The following is a 26,797-nucleotide window of genomic DNA, read 5'->3' on the forward strand; positions in this document are numbered from 1 at the left end:
AGACAAGCAAATGCTGAGAGATTTTGTTACCACCAGGCCTGCCCTACAAGAGCTCCTGAAGGAAGCACTAAACATGGAAAGGAAAAACCAGTATCAGCCACTGCAAAAACATGCCAATTTGTAAAGGCCATCGAGTCTAGGAAGAAACTGCATCAACTACTGAGCAAAATAACCAGCTAACATCACAATGACAGGATCAAATTCACACACAACAATATTAACCTTAAATGTAAATGGGCTAAATGCTCCAATTAAAAGACACAGACTGGCAAATTGGATAGAGTCAAGACCCATCAGTGTGCTGTATTCAGGAAACCCATCTCATGTGAAGAGACACACATAGGCTCAAAATGAAGGGATGGAGGAAGATCTACCAAGCAAATGGAAAACAAAAAAAGGCAGGGGTTGCAATCCTAGTATCTGGTAAAACAGACTTTAAGCCAACAAAGATCAAAAGAGACAAAGAAGACCTTTACATAATGGTAAAGGGATCAATTCAACAAGAAGAACTAACTATCCTAAATATATATGCACCCAATACAGGAGCACCCAGATTCATAAAGCAAGTCCTTAGAGACCTAGAAAGAGAACTACAAACCACTGCTCAATGAAATAAAAGAGGATACAAAAAAATGGAAGCACATTCCATGCTGATGGGTGGGAAGAATCAATATCATGAAAATGGCCATACTGCCCAAGGTAATTTACAGATTCAATGCCATCCCCATCAACCTACCCATGACTTTCTTCACAGAATTGGAAAAAACTACTTTAAAGTCCATATGGAACCAAAATAGCCACACTTCCAAGTCAATCCTAAGCCAAAAGAACAAAGCTGGAGGCATCATGCTACCTGACTTCAAACTAAACTACAAGGCTACAGTAACAAAAACAGCATGGTACTGGTACCAAAACAGAGATATAGATCAATGGAACAGAACAGAGCCCTCAGAAATAATGCCACATATCTACAACCATCTAATCTTTGACAGACTTGACAAAAACAAGAGATGGGGAAAGGATTCCCTATTTAATAAACGGTGCTGGGAAAGCTGGCTAGCCATATGTAGAAAGCTGAAACTGGATCCCTTCCCTACACCTTATACAAAAATTAATTCAAGATGGAATAAAGACTTAAATGTTAGACCTAAAACCATGAAAACCCTAGAAGAAAACCTAGGCAATACCATTCAGGACACAGGCATGTGCAAGGACTTCATGTCTAAAACACCAAAAGCAATGGCAACAAAAGCCAAAATTGACAAATGGGATCTAATTAAACGAAAGAGCTTCTGCACAGTAAAAGAAACTACCATCAGAGTGAACAGGCAACCTACAGAATGGGAGAAAATTTTTGCAATCTACTCATCTGACAAAGGGCTAATATCCAGAATCTACAATGAACTCAAACAAATTTACAAGAAAAAAACAAACAACCCCATCAAAAAGTGGGTGAAGGATATGAACAGACACTTCTCAAAAGAAGACATTTATGCAGCCAAAAGACACACGAAAAAATGTTCATCATCACTGGCCATCAGAGAAATGCAAATCAAAACCACAGTGAGATACCATCTCACACCACTTGACTGGTGATCATTAAAAAGTCAGGAAACAACAGGTGCTGGAGAGGATGTGGAGAAATAGGAACACTTTTACACTGTTGGTGGGACTGTAAACTAGTTCAACCATTGTGGAAGTCAGCATGGCGGATCCTCAGGGATCTAGTACTAGAAATACCATTTGACCCAGCCATCTCATTAGTGGGTATATACCCAAAGGATTATAAATCATGCTGCTATAAAGACACATGCACACGTATGTTTATAGTGACACTATTCACAGTAGCAAAGACTTGGAACCAACACAAATGTCCAACAATGATAGACTGGATTAAGAAAATGTGGCACATATACACCATGGAATATTATGCAGCCATAATAAATGATGAGTTCATGTCATTTGTAGGAGCATGGATGAAGCTGGAAACCATCATTCTCAGCAAACTATCGCAAGGACGAAAAACCAAAGACCGCATGTTCTCACTCATAGGTGGGAATTGAACAATGAGAACACATGGACACAGGAAGGGGAACATCACACACCGGGGCCTGTTGTGGGGTGGGGAGAGGGGGGAGGGATAGAATTAGGAGATATACCTAATATTAAATGACGAGTTAATGGGTGCAGCACACCCACATGGCACATGTATACATATGTAACAAACCTGCACATTGTGCACATGTACCCTAAAACTTAAAGTATAATAAAAATAAATAAAGTAATAGAGACACACACACAAAAAAAATAAAAATAAATAAATGGCTTGATGCTATTCATCTCCCCAGCGAATTCCCACAGTCAGCCTGAAAATGAGATTTATACTTCCACAAAATCTATTATACAGTTGCTCTAAACTTTTTCATTGTCCCTCGACCTAACGTTCTCACTTCCCTCCATACTCAGTTTCAAGTGTTTGAGCAATTGTTACACTGTCTCTTCTGTTTATGTATATCTCAGATATCTTGTCCCCCTTCTTCTCTCTATCTATCTCGGTTTGATAAATTGCTCTAGCTAAAGTCAAGTTCCAGTTAAGTCAGCAACCTACATCAAACCTGCATCCCTCTAGCTGAACATAGCTGCAAAAAGTCACAACCATGCTGAACGTCCCCATTTTAAATTCATGATCACAAAATGAAGAGGGTCTTTAAAATTGTCTGGCAATAGTACCACATGTTCCTAGTCCAGTTGTTTCCCCACACATGGATGAGTATTAGAATGATATTCAGATCTTTTAGCAATACAAATGCCCTGGATCTACCTCCAATTGATCTATGTAGGTGCCCACATATCCCAAATTGTTAACAACTTTCTAGATGACTCTAATATGAAGGTGGAGTTATGATCCAACTCTCAAGTCAATTCATTTTCCCACACTTTAGGATGACTGTTTCCTACCTTTTTCTTTCTCACATTTCCATCATCTTCTCTCTCATCCTTATTCACAGCTAATAACGTTGTTATTTATGTCATTAATCACATAGAAACAATTAGGGGAGAACTTCCATAAGCTTTTACTGTAACTACTTGCCACTTCGTCTACTGAATCTGTGTCAGTAATACTTTGAATTTCCTTTTGATTTTGAATTAACTCTTAAGGCCCCTATTTGGAAACATTTCAGTTCATACATGCACTAGATCTAATTCACAACTAACAATTATCCAAGGAAATTTCTCCGGAAATTTTCCCTTGTTTCTCTTACATTATCAATTTTCCTTCTTTTTTCTCTATTACTCTCATTACTAAACAGACACCCTGTAATTTCTCCCACTTTCCCCTCTAGCTACAACATCACTTTATCTCCTCCTCTTTATGGCCAATATATCTCAAAGACTTGTCTATATTCACAGTTTCCACATCCCCAAATCCAAATCCCTGTGGCTTCTGAAACAGTAGCATCAGCATCACCTGGGAACTTGTTAGAAATTTGAATTTGATGCTTTCATCACAAAGCCTCTGGATCGGAAACTCTAAAACACAGAAATTTAAGTTTTAACATAGCCCCCTAAGTGTTATTAATGTATGCAAAATTAGATAATCTTTTATTATATCTCTAATTCTCGGTTGATATCTGAAACAAGATAATTATCTACTGGTTTTCGACTGTGAAATCTGAAAATTTAGTGCCTTTATACTTCTTATATTTAGCCATATTCCACCCTCTCTTTAAATATTTTTGGTTGTTATCCTCTCAGACCAGGGTACATACTGCCATTTTGGTATAATTATTTCTACAGCAGCTCCTTCTCTGCTCAATTCCAGTCACATCATATTACTGAATGCTTAACTTTCCTAATATTATTAATATTGCAGGGATAAATATCTGTGTTTTAATATTGACCAAGAGCATAGCCTTCATGTGTAGGTTAAATTTGCCTAGCTAGTGTATATGGTTTACTCTTCTTAGCATTTCAGCAAGCTCACCTGGTTGAATTCCATGTTTGTGACACTATGGACTAATCAAAAGTAGTGATTGTGGGCCCGTGATTATGTTTGTGGAAGAATCTGGTCTTGCTTTCTAAAGGAATTCTCTGTTTCTTTCAGCCTCTTTACTGGGATTCTCTTATCTGGTAGTCTTCTCTAAATATAGAGTTTACCCAAATACTAAGCTTAGAAATTTACATGCATGCAGAAAAGCATACCTGATCTAACTTTACCGACAGTTTTGGATGCTGTGATTTTGATTCTCAGGAGGGGAGCTCATGACATTGTGTAAGTTTCTATGAGTATACACATTTCGACAATTAGAACATTGGGGAAAGCATTATAATGAACATATTCATCAGCTAGAAGCTATAAGCTCTTTTCCCAAATAAAATCACTGCAAATATATTAATGCAGTTGATTCGCTAAACACACACACACACATACACACACATTGTTCCTCCAGTTTATGTATACCTCAGATGTCTATATATATATATATATATATATATATATGTCTCAAATCTTCTGTATCCAATCTGCCATTATTGAACACATAAGTTGTGTCCATGACTATGTATGCTATTGCAAATAGTACAGAGGTAAACATATGAATGCATGTGTCTTTTTTAATATAATGATTGCGTTTCCATTGTGAGGACAGCCAGCAGTGGAATTTCTGGGTCAAATAGTAGTTCTATTTTTTGATTTTTGAGATACCACCATACTGTTTTTCATTGAGCTAATTGGCATTTCCCATCGACAGTTGTTTTTTGTCTTTTTAATAGCAGCCAATCTGACTATTGTAAGGTTATATCTCATTGTGATTTTAACTTGCAAATATTTTCTTCTATAGGTTTTGTGTTTGTTCTGTTGATTATTTCTCCTGCTGTGATGAAGATTTTTCATTTAATTAAAGCCCATTTCTCTATTTCTGTTATTGTTGCATTTGATTTTGTGCTCTTTGTAATACTTTTTTTGCCTAGCTCAATGTCCAGAAGAGTTCTTAGATATTATTCCAGAACTTTTCTACTTTCAGGTCTTGTGTTTAGGACTTTATCTTGAGTTAATTTTTGTATAAGGTGAGAGATGAGAAACCAGGTTCATTCTTGCACATTTGGCTAGTCAGTTTTCCTAGCATCATTTATTGAATAGGGTGTTTTGTTGTTGTTGTTGCTGTTGTTTTGTATGAACTTTGGGATATTTTTTCAAATTCTATGAAAAATAATTATGGTAATTTGATAGAAATTGTATTGAATTGTAGACCACTTTGGGCAATATGGTCATTTTGATGATACTGATTCTTTCACTCTGTGAGCATGGGATGTTTTTTCCATTTGTTTGTGTCATCAGTGTTTTGTAGTTTCCTCACAAAAATTTTTCACCTCATTGGTTAAATGTATTCCTATGTATTTTATTTTTTTGTATGTGCCTCTTATTAATAGGATTGAGTTGATAATTTGGTTCTCAGTTTGAAATTTCATTGTATTGGAAAACCCCTAACTTTCATACGTTGATTTTGTATTTTGAAACTTTACTGAAATTGCTTATCAAGTTTGGAACTCTTCTAGGGGAGTTTTTAGGGTGTTCTAGGTATATAATCATGTGGTTAGTGAATAGAGATAATTTTTCTTCCTCTTTTCTAATTTGTTTGCCTTTTATTTTTTACTCTTGCCCAATTTCTCTGGCCTGAACTGTCAGTATGAATTTGAATAGGAGTGATGACAGTGGGCATCTTTGGAATTACAAGAAAAAATACATTGAACTTTTTTCCATTCAGTGTGATGTTGGCTGTGGAAATGTCATATATGGCTTTTCTTATTTAGAGGTATATTCTGTCTTTGCCTAGTTTGTTCAGGATTTTTTTCATGAAAAGGTGTTAGATTTTATCAAATGCTTTTTATGGATCTGTGGAGATTATTATATGGTTTATATACTTTATTCTGTTTATGTGATAAATCACATTTATAGGTTTGCATATGTTGAACCATCCTTGGTTCACTATCATCCCTGGAAAAAAACCCAACTTGATTATAATAAATTATACTTTAATGTGCTATTGGATTTTGTTTGCTAATATTTTGTTGAGAAATTTTGCATTTATGTTTATCGTGGATATTGGCCTATATTTCCTTGTTTTGTACTTGCCTGATTTTGGTATCGAGGTGATACTGTATTTATAAAATGAGTTAGTGAGAGATCACTCCCCCTCAATTTCTGGGGATAGTTTTAGTAAGATTAGTATAAGCTCATCTTCATACATCTGGTAAACTTTTAGCTGTACATCTGTCTGGCCCTAAGCTTATTTTTTGGAAGATTTTAAAATATTGATTCACTTTCATTACTTGTATTGGTCTTTTCAGTGTCGCTAATTCTTTCTGGTTCAATTTTGGGAGATAGGCTGGGTGCCGTGGCTCACACCTGTAATCTTGGCAGTTTGAGAGGACTAAGCAAGAGGGTTGTTGGAAGCCAGGAGTTCAAGACAAGTCTGGGCAATGTAGCCAAACTCTGTCTCTGAAATAAAATAAAATAAAATAAAATAAAATAAAATAAAATAAAATAAAATAAAATAAAATAAAATAAAATAAAATAAAATAAAAATAAAATAATTTTGGAAGTTGTGTTTTTTTCTCTGTTTTCTAGTGTGTGTGTGTAGAAGTGTTCATAGTATTCTCTTAGGTTCTTTTGTATTTCTCTGTTACCCAGTGTAATATCATCTTTATTATTCCTGATTGTGCTTATTTAAATATTATCTCTTTTTTCTTTGTTAGCCTAGCTAGTGCTCTGTCAATTTTGTTTATACTTTTAAATAATAAATTTCTATTTCATGGATTCTTCGTAATTTTCCTTTTTTGGTCTCAAGCTAACATAGTTCTGCTGTGACCATTGTTATTTCTTCTGTTAGCTTTGGATTTGACTTGTTCTTGTTTTTCCAGTTTTTTGAGGGGGGATATTATGTTGCTTATTTGAAATCTATCTCTTTGATGTAAAAATGTAATGCTACAAATTGCCTTCTTACTACTGCTTTTGTTTTCCAGAGGTATTGGTGTGTTGTGTCTCTATTTTTATTTGCTTCCAAAGATATTTAAATTTTGACCTTATTTTCATTGTTTACTTAAGAGTTGTTCCATGAGCAGCGGTTTGTAGCTCTCCTTGAAGAGGTCCTTCACATCCCTTGTAAGTTGGATTCCTAGGTATTTTATTCTCTTTGAAGCAGTTGTGAATGGGAGTTCACTCATAATTTGGCTCTCAGTCTGTTATTGGTGTATAAGGTTGCTTGTGATTTTTGTACATTGATTTTGTATCCTGAGACTTTGCTGAAGTTGCTTATCAGCTTAAGGAGATTTTGGGCTGAGACAATGGGGTTTTCTAGATATACAATCATGTCATCTGCAAACAGGGACAATTTGACTTCCTCTTTTCCTAATTGAATACCCTTTATTTATTTCTCCTGCCTGATTGCCCTGGCCAGAACTTCCAACACTATGCTGAATAGGAGTGGTGAAAGAGGGCATCCCTGTCTTGTGCCAGTTTTCAAAGAGAATGCTTCCAGTTTTTGCCCATTCAGTATGATATTGGCTGTGGGTTTGTCATAGATAGCGCTTATTATTTTTACAAATGTCCCATCAATACCTAATTTATTGAGAGTTTTTAGCATGAAGGGCTGTTGAATTTTGTCAAAGGCCTTTTCTGCATCTATTGAGATAATCATGTGGTTTTTGTCTTTGGTTCTGTTTATATGCTGGATTACGTTTATTGATTTGCGTATGTTGAACCAGCCTTGCATCCCAGGGATGAAGCCCACTTGATCATGGTGGATAAGCTTTTTGATGTGCTGCTGGATTCGGTTTGCCAGTATTTTACTGAGGATTTTTGCATCAATCTTCATCAGGGATATTGGTCTAAAATTCTCTTTTTTTATTGTTGTGTCTCTGCCAGGCTTTGGTATCAGGATGATGCTGGCCTCATAAAATGAGTTAGGGAGGATTCCCTCTTTTTCTATTGATTGGAATAGTTGCAGAAGGAAGCTCCTCCTTGTACCTCTGGTAGAATTTGGCTGTGAATCCATCTGGTCCTGGACTTTTTTTGGTTGGTAAGTTATTAATTATTGCCTCAATTTCAGAGCCTGTTATTGGTCTGTTCAGAGATTCAACTTCTTCCTGGTTTAGTCTTGGGAGGATGTACGTGTTGAGCAATTTATCCATTTCTTCTAGGTTTTCTAGTTTACTTTTGTAGAGGTGTACATAGTATTATCTGAGGGTAGTTTATATTTCTGTGGGATTTTATTTTTTATTGCATCTATTTGATTCTTCTCTCTTTTCTTCTTTATTAGTCTTGCTAGCGGTCTATCAGTTATGTTGATCTTTTCAAAAAACCAGCTCCTGGATTCATTGATTTTTTGAAGGGTTTTTTTGTGTCTCTACTTCCTTCAGTTCTGTTCTGATCTTAGTTATTTCTTGCCTTCTGCTAGCGTTTGAATGTGTTTGCTCTTGTTTCTCTAGTTCTTTTAATTGTGATGTTAGGGTGTCGATTTTAAATCTTTCCTGCTTTCTCTTGTGGGCATTTAGTGCTATAAATTTCCCTCTACACACTGCTTTGAATGTGTCCCAGAGATTCTGGCATGTCGTGTTTTTTTTCTCATTGGTTTCAAAGAACATCTTTATTTCTGCCTTCATTTCCTTATGTACCCAGTAGTCATTCAGGAGCAGGTTGTTCAGTTTCCATGTAGTTGAGCGGTTTTGAGTGAGTTTCTTCAACCTGAGTTCTAGTTTGATTGCACTGTGGTCTGAGAGACAGTTTGTTATAATTTCTGTTCTTTTACATTTGCTGAGGAGTGCTTTACTTCCAACTATGTGGGAGTCTAAGTCTCTTACTAGGTCTCTAAGGACTTGCTTTATGAATCTGGCTGCTCCTGTATTGGTTCCATATATATTTAGGATAGTTAGCTCTTCTTGTTGAATTGATCCCTTTACCATTATTAATGGCCTTCTTTGTCTCTTTTGATCTTCGTTGGTTTAAAGTCTGTTTTATCAGAGACTAGGATTGCAATCCCTGCCTTTTTTTGTTTTCCATTTGCTTGGTAGATCTTCCTCCTTCCCTTTATTTTGAGCCTATGTGTGTCTCTGCAGGTGAGATGGGTTTCCTGAATACAGCACACTGATGGGTCTTGACTCTTTATCCAATTTGCCAGTCTGTGACTTTTAATTGGAGCCTTAAGCCCATTCACTTTTAAGGTTAATATTGTTATGTGTGAATTTGATCCTGTCATTATGATGTTAGCTGGTTATTTTGCTCGTTAGTTGTTGCAGTTTCTTCCTAGCCTCGATGGTCTTTAAAATTTGGCATGTTTTTGCAGTGACTGATACCTGTTTTTCCTTTCCATGTTTAGTGCTTCCTTCAGGATCTCTTTTGGGGCAGGCCTGGTGGTGACAAAATCTCTCAGCATTTGCTTGTCTGTGAAGGATTTTATTTTCCTTCACTTATGAAGCTTTGTTTGGCTGGATATGAAATTCTGGGTTGAAAATTCTTTTCTTTAAGAATGTTGAATATTGGCCCCCACTCTCTTCTGGCTTGTAGAGTTTCTGCCGAGAGATCAGCTGATAGTCTGATGGGCTTCCCTTTGTGGGTAACCCGACCTTTCTCTCTGGCTGCCCTGAACATTTTTTCCTTCATTTCAACTTCGGTGAATCTGACAATTATGTGTCTTGGAGTTGCTCTTCTCGACAAGTATCTTTGTGGCATTCTCTGTATTTCCTGAATTTGAATGTTTGCCTGCCTTGCTAGGTTGGGGAAGTTCTCCTGGATAATATCCTGCAGAGTGTTTTCCAACTTGGTTCCATTCTCCCCATCACTTTCAGATATACCAGTCAGACGTAGATTTGGTCTTTTCACATAGTCCTATATTTCTTGGAGGCTTTATTCATTTCTTTTTACTCTTTTTTCTGTAAACTTCTCTTCTTGCTTCATTTCATTCATTTCATCTTCCATCCCTGAAACCCTTTCTTCCAGTTGATTGAATCGGCTACTGAGGCTTGTGCATTCATGCAATAGATCTCGTGCCATGGTTTTCAGCTCCATCAGGTCATTTAAGGACTTATCTGCATTGGTTATTCTAGTCAGCCATTCTTCTAATCTTTTTTCAAGGTTTTTAACTTCTTTGCCATGGTTTCGAACTTCCTCCTTTAGCTCGGAGAAGTTTGATCGTCTGAAGCCTTCTTCTCTCAACTCATCAAAGCCATTCTGCATCCAGCTTTGTTCCGTTGCTGGTGATAAACTGTGTTCCTTTGGAGGAGAAGAAGCGCTGTGATTTTCAGATTTTCCACTTTTTCTGCTCTGTTTTTTCCCCATCTTTGTGGTTTTTATCTACCTTTGGTCTTTGATGATGGTGACATACTGATGGGGTTTTGGTGTGGATGTCCTTTCTGTTTGTTAGTTTTCCTTCTAACAGTCAGGACCCTCAGCTGCAGGTCTGTTGGAGTTTGTTGGAGGTCCACTCCAGACCCTGTTTGCCTGGGTATCAGCAGCAGAGGCTGCAGAACAGCAGATATTGGTAATCCGCAATTGTTGCTGCCTGATTGTTCCTCTGGAAGTTTTGTCCCAGAGGAGTACCTGGCCGTGTGAGGTGTCAGCCTGCCCCTACTGGGGTGTGCCTCCCAGTTAGACTACTCGGGGGTCAGTGACCCACTTGAGGAGGCAGTCTGTCCGTTCTCAGGTCTCCCGCTGCATGCTGGAAGAACCACTACTCTCTTCCAAGCGTCAGACAGGGACATTTAAGTCTGCATAGGATTCTGCTGCCTTTTGTTTGGCTATGCCCTGCCCCCAGAGGTGGAGTCTACAGAAGCAGGCAGGCCTCCTTGAACTGCAGTGGGCTCCACCCAGTTCGAGCTTCCTAGCCACTTTGTTTACCTACTCAAGCCTTGGCAATGGCAGGCGCCCATCCCCCAGCCTTGCTGACCCCTTGCAGTTTGATCTCAGACTGCTGTGCTAGCAATAAGCGAGGCTCCATGGGCATAGGGCCCTCCAAGCCATGTGCGGGATATAATCTCCTGGTGTGCCATTTTCTAAGAACTTTGGAAAAGCACAGTGTTAGGGTGTGAGTGACCCGATTTTCCAGGTGCCATCTGTCACCCCTTTCTTTGACTAGGAAAGGGAATTCCCTGACTCCTTGTGCTTCCCGGGTGAGGCGGTGCCTCGCCCTGCTTCATCTCATGCTCAGTGCACTGCAACCACTGTCTGACACCCCCAGTGAGATGAACCTGGTACCTCAGTTGGAAGTGCAGAAACCACCTGTCTTCTGCATCACTGATGCTGGGAGCTGTAGACTGGAGCTGTTCATATTTGGCCATCTTGTCTCCACCCCACATCAAGCCATTTGTAAAGTATCTATCCCATAGCCCAAACACTTTCCGAAACTTCCCGCTTCCAACATTGCAGATCAAATTTCAAGATGAGATTTGGAGGGGACAAATATTCAGCCTACACAATAGGGTTATATCAACTGCAAAGCTTTTGTACAGGAAATGAAATAACACAGTGAAAAATACAACTTATAGAAGGGACAAAAATATTTGCAAACTATTCACCTGACAGGGAATTCATATCCAGAATATATAAGAAACTCAACACTTGACAGCAAAAAACACAAACAAACAAATAGTCTAATTAAAAGTGTAAAGAAGACCTGAATAGATGTATCTTAAAAGAAGATATACAAAAAGCAAAGAAAGAAATACATGAAAAAAATGTAGAACATTACTGATCATCATGGAAAAGCAACTTGAAATTACAATTATATATATATATATAATCTCTCCCCAGTTAGAATGGCTACTACTAATACCAAGAAGACAAAATGTAACAAATGCTGTTGAGGATACCAAGAAAAAAAAATCTAACATTCTCTTGGTAGGAATGTAAACCAGGACTGCTCTTATGGAGAATAGTATGGAAGTGCTTCAAAAAACTAGAAATACATCTACTTTATGATTCAGAAATTCCACTATTGGGCATATATCCAAAGAAAATGATATCAGTATATCAGGGAGATACAGCTCTGTATTTATTGCAGCATTATTTACCATAGCTGAGATGCGGAATCAACTTAAATGTTTCTCAGTGGATGAATTGATAGAGAAAATATACTTAATGAGATTCTATTCATCCATAAAAAAATGAAATTCTGTCATTTGCAGCAACATGGATGAGCCTAGAGAACATTATGTGAAGTGAAACAAGCCAATAACAGAAAGATGAATACTGCATATTCCTTCTAATTTGTGGAGGCTAACAAGTTGATCTCATAGAAGTAGAAAGCAGAATAGTAGTTACAAAAATGTGGGAAAAGTCGGAGAGAAAAAAAGCAGGGAGAGATTGGTTCAAGGATTCAAAATTAAAGATTGATAGGAGGAATAATTTCTAATGTTCCATAGCACTTCAGGGTGACTATAGTTAATAATTTATTATGTATTTTCAAATAGCTAACAGAGAGCGTTTCAAAGGTTTTCAATCAGAACAATAATAAACATCAGAGGTGATGAATATGCTAATTTCCATGATTGATCATTATATATTGTGTTTATCGAAGTATCAGTATTTATTCAATTAATATTAATGTACAATTATTATGTGTCAATTAAAATAATAGTAACTGCTAGTACAAAGGACGTATGTTGCTACATCACAAACATTTTTTATTAATTTGTGTGCTGGCCATGAGACTGCAGCTCGCAGACCTCCAATTACAGGATATTATTGAAAGAGAATGCCAGGTGCTGTGTTGACATTCATGCTGTGTTTGCCAGGCCATCTCACAAGAGATTCCTAGTAGCCAATAACTAAGCAATGCAAAGATACGAAGACTGCCTCATTCCTGAGAATCAGGGCACTCCTCTGACAGGCAACTTTGACTTGAGGCCTCTCAGGGGCCTTGGTAACCTTTCTTTAGGCTGCTTAGTAGTAGGAGCTTCTAGTCAACCAACCTTCCCTCCTTCCTTCCTTCTTTCCTTCCTTCCTTCCTTTTTCCTATCTTGCATTAAAGTCTGACACTTTTCCCAGCCTCACCCAGCTCCTTCACCATTTGCTCCCACTGGCCAAACTCTGGCACGTTTAATTTTTTCTTGACACCTGTTTCTTGGAGAACCCAGACTTGCACACTTTGGTAACTGTTTTACAATATAACTGCTTTCTTTTATAATCAAACATACTTTATTTTATTTTTGTTAAATCACTATTTTCACAAGAACATACTTATCTCCAAATGCATTAAGTTGTATGCATTAAATATTTACAGCTTTTTGTATGTCAACTGTATCTTGATAAGTGGTTTAACATTATTTATTTATTTTGTTTAATTGACAAATAAAAATTATATATGTTTGTTGTCCACAACAAGATGTTTTAAATTATTCATACTCTGTGGAATGTCTAAATTTAGCTACTTAACGTATGCATTATATCACATAAATATTATCATTTGGGATAAAAACACAATTTACTCCCTCAGTAATTTTCAAGAATACAGTATGTTGTTATTAATTATAGTCACTGTGTTGTACAATAGAGCTTTTGATCATATTGCTCTTATCTAACTGAAATTTTTGTATATTTCGGTAAACATCTTTTAAACACCCCTGCACCACACACACCTACCCACCCCTGGTAACCATCATTCTACTCGCTAGTTCTAGGATATCCACATTTTTAGATTCCACATATAAGAACCTGTGGTATTTCTCTTTATGTGCCTGGCTTACTTAACTTATCATCATTATCTCTTGGTTTATCCATGTCACAAATCACAAATTTTTCTGACATGGAAAATTGCTGAGAGTCTTGAAAAGAGGTACAACCATGTTGGACTTGCCAAATTTGATTCCACTGAAAATTCTGAATTATCCCAGAATCTCAATTTCAGCCCTTCAAACCCCTTGTGGCTTTGGATTTGGAGCAGTCTTATCCAGCTAGAATACTGACTGAAGATGTACTTATTTGAGCTTCTGTTGCAAATTGGCCAAACTCCATCTACCAGTAGATTTTCAAATAGCCAATAATGTCAGTCCTGACCCCTCCTGCCTGTAGACTGAGCTCTTTCTACCTGAGGTCCCAGGTGAATGCATGTCCATCAGTGCCTATTCAGGCTGATGGGTTGACTTAAGTCACATTGTGGATCTCAAAATGGCCCTATAAATTAGTTCCAGCCCTTTTTGACTATAGTATGAAAAAGGCCTTCTTGCCCAGAAATTCACTGGGAGACAACTGTCCATGACTATAGAGAAAACTGTCCATGACTATGGAGAAGACCTGAATTTTGGTTATGGACCTGAAAAATAAATGTTGCCTCAGATCTAGCTCATTAGGGCTGCAGATGTGAATAGTTCAGCCATAACAGGGACCCATTTAGTGATCCAATGGGAGTTTTTCCAGTGACATAAAGGAAGTCACACTAGTCAGCACATCTAGTAAAAGCTTTCTGTTTGAGGATATTAAAGCAAGCCTGCCCAACCCCGTACTAGTTGCTCATGGGACTCCAACCTGGGCTATATCAACCATGGCAAACCTGGACTTAGGGTTCCCTCTAGCACTGCAATGGCTGCAGTGATCATGGGTTAGGGGGACACAACAGTTTTCTCAGAATTTCTGAACAGGCATACTGTAGAAGTGCTATCATAGACAATGACAAACTCCCAAGACTGGAATAAATACCCATGTCTTCAATGTGCAGAAATCAACATACATGCACAAAGATCACAATGATCAGGGAAATACGAGGTCTCAAAACAAACCAAATACAGTGCCAGTTACCAAACCTAAACAAATGAAGATGTATGACTGACCTAACAAAGAATAAAAATCACTCTTTTAAGGAAGCTCAATAAAATTCAATAAAATACAGAAAAATAATTCAAAAAATTGGAAGACAAATTTAAGAGTTTGAAATAATTAAACATAATCAAACAGAAATCCTAGAGTGAGAAAATACAATGAAAAAAATAAAAAGTTCAACAGAGTGCATCAACAGCAGAATTAAGCTGAAGAAAAAATTAGTGAGCTCAAAGTCAGATTAGTAAAAAATATGCAGAGAAGAAAAAAATTAAAAAATTAATAAATAAAAAACATTATGAAATAATATCAGAAGAGAAAATTTGTGGGTTCATAAAGTTCAAAAGAGACTAGAGAAACACAAGATAATAGTAAATTACTTAAATAAATAATACAAGAAAACTTTCCAAGCATAAGGAATAATATAAATACCCAGATACAGGAAGCTTAAAAGCAATCACTCACAATCAATCTAAATAGGACCATATGAAGACATGTTACAATCGAACTATCCAATTTCAAAGACAGAGAGAGGATTAAAACAAAAATAGAAAAGAAGTAAAAAACATGTAAGAGAATTTCAATATGCCTGGAAGCAGACTTCTCAGCATAAATCTTACAAATTCAGGAGGGAATTAGGTAATATATATGAGCTGCTGAAGGACAATAAAAAGGGCAAACCAAAAAATACTGGATATGACTAGCTAGATGGTTTTAGATGTGTGGTTTTATTCTGAGTTCCCTATTCTGTTCCATTGGTCTATGTGCCTGTTTCTGTACCAGTGCTATGCTGTTTTTGTTATTGTAGCTTTATAGTATAGTTTCAAGGAAGGTAGTGTGAAGCCTCCAGCTTTGTTCTTTTTGCTTAGGATTGTCCTGCCTCTACACGCTCTTTTTTGGTTCCACAAAAATTTTAAAATAGTTTTTTTTTTTTTGAATTCTGTAAAGATGTCAATGGTAGTTTATTAAAAACATCGTCGAATTTATACATTTCTTTGGGCACTATAACCATTTTTATAGAATTGATTCTTCCTATCCAAGAACATGGAACGTTTTTGCATCTGTTAGTGTCCTCTCTGACTTTTTTGAGCAGTGGTTTGTAGTTCCCCTTGAAGAGGTCCTTCATCTCCCTTTTTAGCTCTATTCCTAGGTATTTTATTCTCTTTGTGGCAATTGTGAATGGGAATTCATTAATAATTTGGCTCTCTGCTTGTCTATTGTTGGTGTGATTATTAGGAAAATGCAAGTCAAAACCTCAGTGAGATATCAACTCACACCAGTCAGAATGGTGATTATTAAAAAGTCAAAAAAAAAAAAAAGATGTTGGCAAGGTTGCACAGGAATAGGAACACTTTTACACTTTTGGTGGGAATGTAAATTAGTTTGACCATTGTGGAAGACAGTGTGGTGATTCCTGAAACTCTTAGAACCAGAAATACCATTCAATCCACCAATTCAATTACTGGGTATACAACACCCAAATGCAAATCATTCTATTCTAAAGAACATGCACATGTGTGTTTATTGCAGCACTATTCACAATAGTAAAGACATGGAATCAACTCAAATGACCATCAGTGATAGACTGGGTAAGGAAAATGTGGTACATATACACCATGGAATACTATGCAGCCATAAAAAAGAATGAGATCGTTTCCTTTGCAGGGACATGGATGAAGCTAGAAGCCATTATCCTCAGCAAACTAATGCAGCAACAGAAAATCAAACCACATTTTCTCACGTATAAGTGGGAGCTGGACAATGAGAACACATGGACACAGGGAGGGAACAACACACTGGGGCCTGCTGGGTTAGGACAAGAGGAGGAGAGCATTAGGAAAAACAGCTAATGCATGCCAGGCTTAATACCTAGGTAGTGGGTTGATAGGTGCATAAAACCACCATAGATCACATTTACCTGTGTAACAAGCATGCACATCCTGCACACGTACCCCAGGACTTAGAAACAAAAGACTACTAGTTCAATCTATATTGTTGAAATGTCAAGATATTGTTTTTATGGCTGAATAGTACTCCATCATGTCTATATATATTTTCTTAATAGATTCACCTAATGATGAACACTTAGATTGCTTCCAAATCTTGGCTTTTGGAATAGTGCTGCAACCAACATGGGGGTGCAGAGATCTCTTTGATATACTGATTTTCTTTCTTTTGGTTATATACTTAGAAGTTGAATTGCTGGATCATATGGTAGCTCTATTTTTAATATTTTGAGAAACTTTCAAACAGTTCTCCATTTTGGAGATTTACATTCCCAAATGTAATTTGTCTGTAGGAAAACAATGTACAAAAGTTCCTTTTCTCCCTATCTTCATAATTATTTGTTATTTCCTGCCTTTTGGATAAAACCATTTTAACTGGAGTGAGATGATATCCCATCATAGTTTTGATTTGCATTTCTCTGATGATTAGTTATACTGAGCACCTTTTCAGATACTTATTTACCATGTTCATGTCTTTTGAGAAATATCTGTTCAGATCATTTGCCCATGCTTTAATTATATTATTAGATATTTTCCTAAAAATGGGTGAAATAAGTTTCTAATTTTATTTTTTTATTTATTTATTTTGCATGTGAATTTACAGTTTTCCCAGCAGCATTTATTGAGAGACTCTCCTTTCCCTAATGTATCTTTTTGGCACTTTGTTGAAAATGCATTCACCATAAATATATGGATTTGTTTCTAGCTTCTCTATTCTGTTCAACTGGTTTATTGGTGACTGTTTTTATGCCAGTAGTATGCTTTTTGTTTTTTGTTCAGAATAGCTTTGGCTATTCTGAGTGCTTTGTGATTCAATATGTTTTAGTATTGTTTTTTCTATTTTTGTTGAGAATGTAATTGGTATTTTATGTAAATTCCATTGAATATGCAGATTGCTTTTAACAGTATGAACATTTTAAAAGTATTGATTCTTCTAGTCCATGAACATTGAATATATTTTCATATTTTTGTACTCTTAAATTTCTTTCATCAATGTTTTATAGTTATTATAAAGAATTTTCACTTCTTTGTTAATCAATTTTAATTTACTGATGTTTTCTGTAATTTTTTGCTGCTTGCATATAGAGATGCTACTGATCTTTGTCTGTTGACTTTGCATCCAGCAACTTTACTAAATTTGTTTATCAGTTCTAATAGTTTTTGGTGGAGTCTTTAGGTTTTTCCAAATGTAAGATCATATCATTTGCAGACAATAATACTTTGACTTCTTCCTTTTCAATTTCGGTACCTTTTATTTCTTTCTTTTGTCTTATTGCTGTAGCTAGGAATTCCAGTACTATGTTGAATAACAGTGGTGGAGGTGAGCATTCTTTTTATGTTCTAAATCTCAGAGAAACGGTTTTCAGTTTTCCCCATTTATTATGATATTAGCTTTATGTCTTTCATATATGGCTTTTATTATGCTGCAGTTTCACATTACAAGAAAGTACTGTTGTAAAATACTAAGAAAGGGTAAGAAATATAATCTGTAACAAACTTACAACTACTGCCTAAAAGCAAGCAAAACTTTCAAATAAAAAAGTCAAAATACACAGAGAGAAACGATGCACAAATTCTGCATCAAATATATGAAAAATTTAATAAGAGAGTTCACTAGTTAATAAAAGATACAAAAATGGGAGGAGTGGTTACAGAAACCAAAAAATTAAATCAGCAAACCACCATGGTACATGTATATCTATGTAACAAACCTGTACATTCTGCACATGTAGCCCAGAACTTAAAGTAAAATAAAAAACAATAATAATTTGAACAAAGTTGAACCACTGTTTGCCTCCTAGTCAGAGCACACAATTCATTTTGTTTTTCCGTCCATATAACACCTAACTGTATATTTTTTATGTGTCATAAAAAAACTTGGTCATTTCATGAAATTCTTTAAATTCTTGATGATTGTTTTCAAGTACACATTTTTATGAATGAAAAACAGCCAACAATGGGCATCTGTTGTTTTTAACACTGATGCTTTAATGAAACTCTTTACAAGTTATCATAATCTTTTTTTATATTTTTCCCCCCTCAGCTTCAAATTTATCAAATCTATCACTATCCCTTCTATGTTTCCTATTGTGGATGTTAACATTTTTGCTCATTTGGGGTAATGGGTCCATGCCTAAATCTTCGTGGATCTGGAGGAATACAAGGAGGCTCAATGCAAACTGCACTGGATGTGATGTTCTCTCACTACTGGTCTGTCATTGTTGCCAAGGCATCCACGTAATTCTTTTTACAAGGTTCCAGAAATCCAGGACTACTTCTAATAATAACCACTGATTAAATGTACTTGAAAACTCTTCTCACTGCATCTGCGCAGGGATCCAAGGATTAGCTGATTGCTTTCTCTGCTAATAACTCTATAGCTCAGCTTGGAAAATTACACCAAGTTGGAATTCCTGCTTACAGAATTCTTGAAGAATACGTATGATAATCACAGAGTACTGCAGACTATTCGTTCTACCTTGGAATCACTTAGCATGGCATAGAGCAACCAGAGCATAAAGGCATTTTTACCTGTCCAAGACATCGGGTAGGTCTTTCACCATACGTGAAGTTAGATCTCTTTTCTCCATGCTATCTTCTTGAATAATTGGAGATGATAGGAGTGACAGTGGCTTGCATTTTGGGTTCCACGCATGAATTCAAAATTATTACCACTTCAGATACAGCACATCTTATTTCATACTTCTCAATGTTTAAAACAGCAAGCTGTTTGGATAGGTTTTCTTTTTTTTATGAAGGTTTTTTTATTTTATTTTATTATTATTATACTTTAAGTTTTAGGGTACATGTGCATAATGTGCAGGTTAGTTACATATATATACATGTGCCATGCTGGTGTGCTGCACCCATTAACTCGTCATTTAGCATTAGGTATATCTCCTAAAGCTATCTCTCCCCCCTCCCCCCACCCCCCAACAGTCCCCAGAGTGTGATGTCCTCCTTTCTGTGTCCATGTGTTCCCATTGTTCAATTCCCACCTATGAGTGAGAATATGTGGTGTTTGGTTTTTTGTTCTTGCGATAGTTTACTGAGAATGATGATTTCCAGTTTCATCTATGTCCCTACAAAGGACACGAACTCATCATTTTTTATGGCTCCATAGAATTCCATGGTGTATATGTGCCACATTTTCTTAATCCAGTCTATCATTGTTGGACATTTGGGTTGGTTCCAAGTCTTCGCTATAGTGAATAATGCCGCAATAAACATACGTGTGCATGTGTCTTTATAGCAGCATGATTTTTAGTCCTTTGGGTATATATCCAGTAATGGGATGGCTGGGTCAAATGGTATTTCTAGTTCTAGATCCCTGAGGAATCGCCACACTGACTTCCACAATGGTTGAACTAGTTTACAGTACCACCAACAGTTCCTATATCTCCACATCCTCTCCAGCACCTGTTGTTTCCTGACTTTTTAATGATCGCCATTCTAACTGGCGTGAGATGGTATCTCACTGTGGTTTTGATTTGCATTTCTCTGATGGCCAGTGATGATGAGCATTTTTTCATGTGTCTTTTGGCTGCATAAATGTCTTCTTTTGAGAAGTGTCTGTTCATATCCTTTGCCCAGTTTTTGATGGGCTTGTTTGTTTTTTTCTTGTAAATTTGTTTGAGTTCATTGTAGATTCTGGATATCAGCCCTTTGTCAGATGAGTAGATTGCAAAAATTTTCTCCCATTTTGTAGGTTGCCTGTTCACTCTGATGGTAGTTTCTTTTGCTGTGCAGAAGCTCTTTAGTTCAATTAGATCCCATTTGTCAATTTTGGCTTTTGTTGCCATTGCTCTTGGTGTTTTAGACATGAAGTCCTTGCCCATGCCTATGTCCTGAATGGTAATGCCTAGGTTTTCTTCCAGGGTTTTTTATGGTTTTAGGTCTAACGTTTAAGTCTTTAATCCATCTTGAATTAATTTTTGTATAAGGTGTAAGGAAGAGATCTAGTTTCAGCTTTCTATATATGGCTAGCCAGTTTTCCCAGCACCATTTATTAAATAGGGAATCCTTTCCTCATTGCTTGTTTTTGTCAGGTTTGTCAAAGATCAGATAGTTGTAGATATGCGGCATTATTTCTGAGGGCTCTGTTCTGTTCCATTGATCTATATCTCTGTTTTGGTACCAGTACCATGCTGTTTTGGTTACTGTAGCCTTGTAGTATAGTTTGAAGTCAGGTAGTGTGATACCTCCAGCTTTGTTCTTTTTGCTTAGGATTGACTTGGTGATGCGGGCTCTTTTTTGGTTCCATATGAACTTTAAAGCAGTTTTTTCCAATTCTGTGAAGAAAGTCATTGGTAGCTTGATGGGGATGGTATTGAATCTATAAATTACCTCGGGCAGTATGGCCATTTTCACGATATTGATTCTTCCTATCCATGAGCATGGAATGTTCTTCCGTTTGTTTGTATCCTCTGAAATAACTAAAATCAGAGCAGAACTGAAGGAAATAGAAACACAAAAAACCCTTCAAAAATTAATGAATCCAGGAGCTGGTTTTTTGAAAGGGTCAACAAAATTGATGGACGGCTAGCAAGACTAATGAAGAAGAAAAGAGAGAAGAATCAAATAGACGCAATAAAAAATGATAAAGGGGATATCACCACCAATCCCACAGAAATACAAAATACCATCAGAGAATACTACAAACACGTCTATGCAAATAAACTAGACAACCTAGAAGAAATGGATAAATTCCTTGACACATACACCCTCCCAAGACTAAACCAGGAAGAAGTTGACTCTCTGAATAGACCAATAACAGGCTCTGAAATTGTCACAATAATCAATAGCTTACCAACCAAAAAGAGTCCAGGACCAGATGGATTCACAGCCGAATCCTACCAGAGGTACAAGCAGAAACTGGTACCATTCCTTCTGAAACTATTCCAATCAATAGAAAAAGAGGGAATCCTCCCTAACTCATTTTATGAGGTCAGCATCATCCTGATACCAAAGCCGGGCAGAGACACAACAAAAAAAGAGAATTTTAGACCAATATCCTTGATGAACATTGATGCAAAAATCCTCATTAAAATACTGGCAAACCGAATCCAGCAGCACATCAAAAAGCTTATCCACCATGATCAAGTGGGCTTCATCCCTGGGATGCAAGGCTGGTTCAATATACACAAATCAATAAAGGTAATCCAGCATATAAACAGAACCAAAGACAATAACCACATGATTATCTCAATAGATACAGAAAAGGCCTTTGACAAAATTCAACAACCCTTCATGCTAAAAACTCTCAATAAATTAGGTATTGATGGGACATATCTCAAAATAATAAGAGCTATCTATGACAAACCCACAGCCAATATCATACTGAATGGGCAAAAACTGGAAGCATTCCCTTTGAAAACTGGCACAAGACAGTGATTCCCTCTCTCACCACTCCTATTCAACATAGTGTTGGAAGTTCTGGCCAGGGCAATTAAGCAGGAGAAGGAAATAAAAGGTATTCAATTAGGGAAAGAGGAAGTCAAATTGTCCCTGTTTGCAGATGACATGATTGTATATCTAGAAAACCCCATCATCTCAGCCCAAAATCTCCTTAAGCTGATAAGCAACTTCAGCAAAGTCTCAGGATACAAAATCAATGTACAAAAATCACAAGCATTCTTATACACCAATAACAGACAAACAGAGAGCCAAATCATGAGTGAACTCCCATTCCCAATTCCTTCAAAGAGACTGAAATACCTAGGAATCCAACTTACAAGGGACGTGAAGCACCTCTTCAAGGAGAAGTACAAACCACTGCTCAGTTAAATAAAAGTGGATAGGTTTTCTGCAATATGTCTTAATAATATCTTTGAAGGTTTCCCTGAATGCAGAAAAACAAGGTTGTCCTTGGAGAAGTAACTCTCTTGTCAAAACTTCCACTTGCATAACTTCTTTTAAAACTCTCTTTACCTCTCTCTTTCTTATGACCTTCTTCTTTGCTCTTGCTCTTCTCATGTTCAGAGAAAGTGCCTGAAATAAATTTTAAAGTACATTCAGTAATAGAAACAATTTTCTGAACTTCCTGTTACTTCTTTTCAACTAGATAAATCATTGCATATTTTCTCATTACATAGAAGTCATCAGATGAGTCAGGATGTTGTAAGCGTGCAGGCCCCTGTAGCTGAGGAGTAATGCCTGGTCACACTCCCAGGAGTCTGGGACCAGAGATCATGAGGATATTCTCCAACAGGCATTTGGTGGTTATCATCTCAATGATGCTGTTCTTCCTCCAGAACATGCACTTTTCATAACATTGCATTACCATACTCCAGCGTTGCTCCTCTTGCCTTCATCAGTAGTCCTTCTGCATTTGCTTTTGCATTTTCTCTTATTCAATCTTTCTTTCAAAAATACTAGGCTTTACTTCTACTTGCAAATCTAAATTTTTCTTTTTTCTATTTTGAAGTATGTGTCTTCACCCTTTTAAGTGAATCTCCTTAACATTGGGATTATTAAAGCTTCACTTGCATGATTTACAATGGAAGTGAACTACCTTTCCTTCTTCATTTTAAACCTCCTCCAGGTAATCATGACCCACTGGCTGCGCATCATTCTGGAAAGCAGCAAAATATACAGGTTTGATTTTTTTTCTCACACTGTCTCTTGATTTACTTCAGGAATCTGCACCATAGAAATAAAAAGAATACTTTTAACAGATGCAGTTCCTTCTAAGTACTGTGTTTTATTTCATGATGATTGTGGCTTATTATTACCAATGAAATTGATTTTGGGGTAGATATTTTTTGGCAGCCATATTTGTGGGCAATGCTGACACTTTAGTCTTCGATGTGCTGTTAAGAGACGAATTTCCTGTAGTCACAAGACTCTTCACTGAAGAAGTTGCAATTGATGAAGTATTCACAGTACAATTGCTTAAAGGATTGGTAGTTGATTTTGAAGCAGACACAGCTGTTGGAAAAGTAGCTTGGCTAGTAACATTTGGTTCTGTTGCATCTGCTCCAGTACAAGACACATTGAGGAGCTTACAGTGTAGCTGATTTTGAGTCCCATGAGTAGAGTTGTTGCTTCTGCTGATATTTTGTGAGGGTTTCTTTGCAGCCTCACAAAACACCAGCAGAAGCAACAACTTGTAATTGTTTCTGTCCTTCTGACTGTGGCTTACAAGTCTGTGGTATGGCACAGGTGGTGTTACAAACATCAAGATTGTGAATCTTTGGTGGCTTGGGAGGCTGTTTTAGCTTCAGTTGTTTATTTTGTATTTTCGAATTGTGCTTCTTTAGTAAAGATAGTTCCTGTTCAAGCAGCTGTTAATTGTAGAAAGATGCAGCTGAATACACTGCTGCTTCATAAACTGAATAAAATTTACCAGGATAAATAACTGCTGTGGTACTGCAAGTAGCACTCTGAGTATAGGATGGCACAACAGCAGCTGCAGCTGCTACTGGATGTACAGTGGAGGATATAGGATAAATAAAGTTGCGACAGCTGAACTTGCTGTGACTTATTTTATAGCTGTCACTTGTCGAGTTTGCTGGGCTTGAGTATACTGAGTTGTGCCTGGGATTTAAGAGCAGTCTGATAGTAAGCTTCAGCTACAGAAGGCCAAGGTTAGTGATTGGCAGCTATACCAGCAGCAGTTTCTGTTAGTTGTTGGTGGTAGTGCTTACTATCATAAGCTATCAGGAGTTGTGGATCTCACATATGAGTATGAGTCCTGGTAGTTTTGTGTAGTAGCGGCAGGTGGGTGGTTCTTCTTGTTGCCCCTGAGTATAACCATGATCAGTTGCTGTGTGTGCAGTGGGGTAGCTTTCATAAGCAGCAGTTGGTGCAGCAGCAACTGCAGGCCTGGTAACTGCAACTGTGGCAAATGCTGGTGCATAGGCAATAGTAACTGAGAAGCTACTGGAGCCTGATGGACTGTGTAGCTACCAACTGTAGTTGGATGAAAATAGGCTATGCTTGAATCTGGCTGCTGCCTACACTAAGCCACAATGACTCCTGCTGCCACCCAACTGTGAGTGAATCAAAAGCAGTTGCCAGTCACCATTTTGGTATCTTGCCCTAGCCAGCTGGGCACATAGGTGAAAGAAACGACAGAGCATATGGGAATCATGTTTTCCAGGTGATGCTTCTGAATTCTGACTAATCTGCTGCCTCATTTATCTGCCCTGCTCCTTTTTTCTTTTCTTTTTTTAAACCTTGTCGGGGTACATGGTTACATTGTTTATTAGAAATCTTTCTTCATTTTTAATCTGTCCACTCATTGCCATGAACTTTCTTCTCAGAACTTCTTTTACTGTGTCCTATTGGCTTTCCATGTATGTGTAAGTTATCCAAAATTATTATTGTTTTACGTTTCTAGTTTTTTACCATTGTAAGTCTGAAATGACAGTTGATTAATCTCTATCTCCTCAATTACACTTGATTAGTCTCTGTCCTCAAATTTATCAACACCCATTTGGTGGGCTAACATATTAGCTACCCCAGAGCAGTTGAGAAGAATGTATATTCTGCACCTGTTGCATGAAATGTTCACACGTCTGTTAGGTACATTTGGTCTATTACATAGTTTATGTCTGATGTTTCTGTGTTGATTTTCTGTCGAGATGATCTATATATTGTTGAAAGTGGGGTGTTGACATATCTTGGTATTATTGTATTGCAGTCTATTACTCTGTTTAAATTCCATAATATTGTATTAATATACTTGAGTACTGTAATGTTGGGTTCATATATATTTATGGTTGCTATATCCTCTTGCTGAATTAATCACCTTATCATTATAAAATTACCTACATTGTCGCTTTTAAAAGTATTTGATATAAAGTATATTTTATCTGATATAAGAACGGTTACTCCTGATCACTTTTGGTTTCCATTTGCATAAATTTTTTTTCATCACTTCGCTTTTAGTCTGTTTGTGTTTAATGGTAAGGTGGCTCATGCTTGTAATCCCAGCACTTTGGGAGGCTGAGGCGGTGGATCACCTGAGGTCACGAGTTTGAGAACAGCCTGGCCAACATGGTGAAATCCCATCTCTACTAAAAATACAAAGATCAGCCATGTGCAGTGGTGGGTGCCTGTAATCCCAGGTACATGGGAGGCTGAGGCACAAGAATCGCTAGAACCCGTGAGGCAGAGGTTGCAGTGAGCTGAGACTGTGCCACTGCACTCCAGCCTGGATGACAGAGTAAGACTCTGTCTCAAAAAAAAAAAGCAAAACTAAACAGAAAACAACAAAAACAAACAACAAAAAGCAATGAGGTGACTCCCTGTAGTCAGCAGATACTTGAGTCTTTTTTTTATCTATTCACTGAGTCTATACTTTTAATTAAAAAATCTAATCCAGTTACATTCAAGGTTATTATTGCTATTTATGGACTCACTCCAGCCATATGTTTCTTTCTTCTTATTTGGTTGTTTACTTCTGTGGTTCAGTGTTTTTCTGTGATGCTAAAGTTTGTTCCCTTTCTCCTTATCTGCCATAATTACTTTCTTTGTGATTAAAATTGGGCTACCATATAAAATCTTATAAAAGACTATGTTAGGCCAGGCGTGGTGGCTCAAGCCTGTAATTCCAGCACTTTGGGAGGCTGAGGCGGGCAGATCACGAGGTCAGGAGATTGAGACAACGGTGTAACTCCGTCTCTACTAAAAATACAAAATATTAGCCAGGTGCGATGGTGGGTGCCTGTAGTCCCAGCTACTCAGGAGGCTGAGGCAGGAGAATGGCATGAATCCGGGAGGCAGAGCTTGCAGTGAGCCAAGATTGCGCCACTGCACTCCAGCCTGGGCGACAGAGCAAGACTACGTCTCAAAAAAAAAAAAAAAAAAAAAGACTCTGTTAAGCTGATAACAACTTAAGTTTGGTTACATATAAGGACTCTAGGATACTTTTTTCTTTCCCCTACAATGTGGGTTTTGATTGCCTTAATTTATATGTATTTTTGTGTGGTTTTCTGAAGCACACATTATAGCTGTTGATATTTTTTTTATTTTTGGCTTT

The 26,797-nt window shown here is 37.1% G+C and overlaps 1 pseudogene; it reads right to left on the reverse strand.

Annotated features, from left to right (window-relative positions):
* Positions 24,095-24,967, reverse strand: ZFRP1 (zinc finger RNA binding protein pseudogene 1; annotated as a pseudogene).

This window comes from Homo sapiens, chromosome X (genome assembly GCF_000001405.40).
Source record: "Homo sapiens chromosome X, GRCh38.p14 Primary Assembly".
Taxonomy (NCBI): Eukaryota; Metazoa; Chordata; class Mammalia; order Primates; family Hominidae; genus Homo; species Homo sapiens.